The sequence below is a fragment of the Homo sapiens genome, chromosome 1 (genome assembly GCF_000001405.40).
Source record: "Homo sapiens chromosome 1, GRCh38.p14 Primary Assembly".
In the NCBI taxonomy this organism is placed as follows: Eukaryota; Metazoa; Chordata; class Mammalia; order Primates; family Hominidae; genus Homo; species Homo sapiens.
This window is the reverse complement of record NC_000001.11, coordinates 4,135,915-4,138,095: the sequence shown is the minus strand read 5'-3', so window position 1 is coordinate 4,138,095 and position 2,181 is coordinate 4,135,915. Positions and strand designations below refer to the sequence as shown.

Below are 2,181 nucleotides of genomic sequence, written 5' to 3'. Positions count from 1 at the left end.
CCGGCAGGGCCCAGGAGCTCCAGAAAGTGCTGGTGGAAGGGGGTAGCTGAGTGTGCAGCCAGCAGGAACAGTGGGGAAGGGAAGGGGTGTGGAAGGGCCGGCAGGCAGGTAATGAGAGGAACAGGAGGAGGCAGGTTATGGCAGATCACAGGGCCTGGGCAGAGGAGCTGGGGTCAGCAGTAATACGGGAGAGGTCAGAGGGCAGACCCCCTCCCCAGACCTGGCAGATGCAGGGAGGGCTTCTGGAGGAAGTGGGAGCAGACCCCACGTAAGGGAGGGGCTGGTGAAGGAAGCTCAGGCCCAGGCAAGGAGGCAAGGAAGTCAGGCAGAGGAGAGGGAGAGGTCTCTGGGAGCTGGGGCCCATCTGGTTCTTTGGGCTTCTGCAAGATAGAACGCTGTCTGCTCCACGACCTCTCCTCAGCTATCACCAAACCCTCAGGGGCATCCCAGCAACCCTCAGCTGCAGCCTGCTTTGCTGGACACGTGCCCTGAACTTTGAGACTCAAGCTAGGGCTTGGTTTAGGCCATTGTTCACTCAGTAGCCAGGCTCTGCTTATAACAATAGCAATAACACCAAGAAGAATTGTTAGGGACTTCCTGGAGTCCAAATTATTTAGGTTGTTGTGCTGCCGAAGGCAGCGTATATACAAATTATTTAGACTGCTTCCTGGGACCCAAAAACCAGGCAGTGCAGTAAAAGTTCAAGGTGAGCAGGCAGAAAGAAAGCCTCAAATTCAGACTACAATTAGCCCCAAGCCGAGGAGACAGCACACAGCAGCTCCCTAACCAAAACATGCTGCTTACAGTGAACAAACATCTCATGCTCCATGACGGCCACATACCCACTGCACAGTGCATGCTCCAGGGAACTCTTAAACTGGAATAAGTTATCTCCCATGGCTTAGTCCATGCTGTACTACCATACAGAATACCTGAGACTGGGTAATTTATAAAGAACAGAGATTTATTTCTTACAACTCTTGAGGCTAGGAAGTCCAAGGCCAAGGTGCCCCCATCTGATGAGGGCCTTCTTAAGGTGTCGTCCCATGTAGAAAGGTAGGAGGGCAAGAGAGGGAGAGGATGGAAGGAGATCAAAGTCATCCTTTCATTAGGAGTTCATCACCATGATAACATGATAACTAACCCACTCCCATGATCACTAACCCACTCTCACAATAACTAACCCACTCTCGTGATCACTAACTCACTCTCATGATAACTAACCCACTCTCATGATAACCAACCCACTCCCATGACAACTAACCCACTCCCATGATCATTAATCCACTCCCATGATCACTAACCCACTCCCATGATAACTAACCCACTCTCATGATATCTAACCCGCTCCCATGACAACTAACCCACTCCCATGATGACTAACCCACTCCCATGTTATCTAACCCACTTCCATGATAACTAACCCACTCCCATGATAACCAACCCACTGTCATGATAATTAACCCACTCTCATGATATCTAACCCACTCCCATGATAACTAACCCACTCCCATGATAACCAACCCACTGTCATGATAATTAACCCACTCTCATGATATCTAACCCACTCCCATGTTGACTAACCCACTCCCATGTTGACTAACCCACTCCCATGTTGATTAACCCACTCCCATGATAACTAACCCACTCCCATGATATCTAATCCACTCTCATGATATCTAACCCGCTCTCATGATAACTAAACCACTCCCATGATCACTTACCCACTCCCATGATTACTAACCCACTCTCATGATATCTAACCCACTCCCATGTTGAATAACCCACTCTCATGATAACTAACCTACTCCCATGATGACTAACCCACTCCCATGATGACTAACCCACTTCCATGATGACTAACCCACTCATGATATCTAACCCACTCTCATGATAACTAACCCACTCCCATGATCACTAACCCACTCCCATGATATCTAACCCACTCTCATGATAATTAACCCCCTCCCATGATCACTAACCCACTCTCATGATAACTAACCCACTCCCATGATATCTAACTCACTCCCATGATGACTAACCCACTCCCATGATAACCAACCCACTGTCATGATAATTAACCCACTCTCATGATATCTAACCCACTCCCATGATAACCAACCCACTGTCATGATAATTAACCCACTCTCATGATATCTAACCCACTCCCATGATAACTAA

General features: G+C 48.4%; 1 annotated feature.

The window, feature by feature from the left end:
- Positions 204-804: an enhancer, noted in NCBI's record as "H3K27ac-H3K4me1 hESC enhancer chr1:4197352-4197952 (GRCh37/hg19 assembly coordinates)". NCBI's record gives its function as "activates a minimal SCP1, AML or CMV promoter by ChIP-STARR-seq in naive H9 embryonic stem cells {active_cell/tissue: H9 hESC(naive)}" and the evidence as "EXISTENCE:reporter gene assay evidence [ECO:0000049][PMID:30033119]".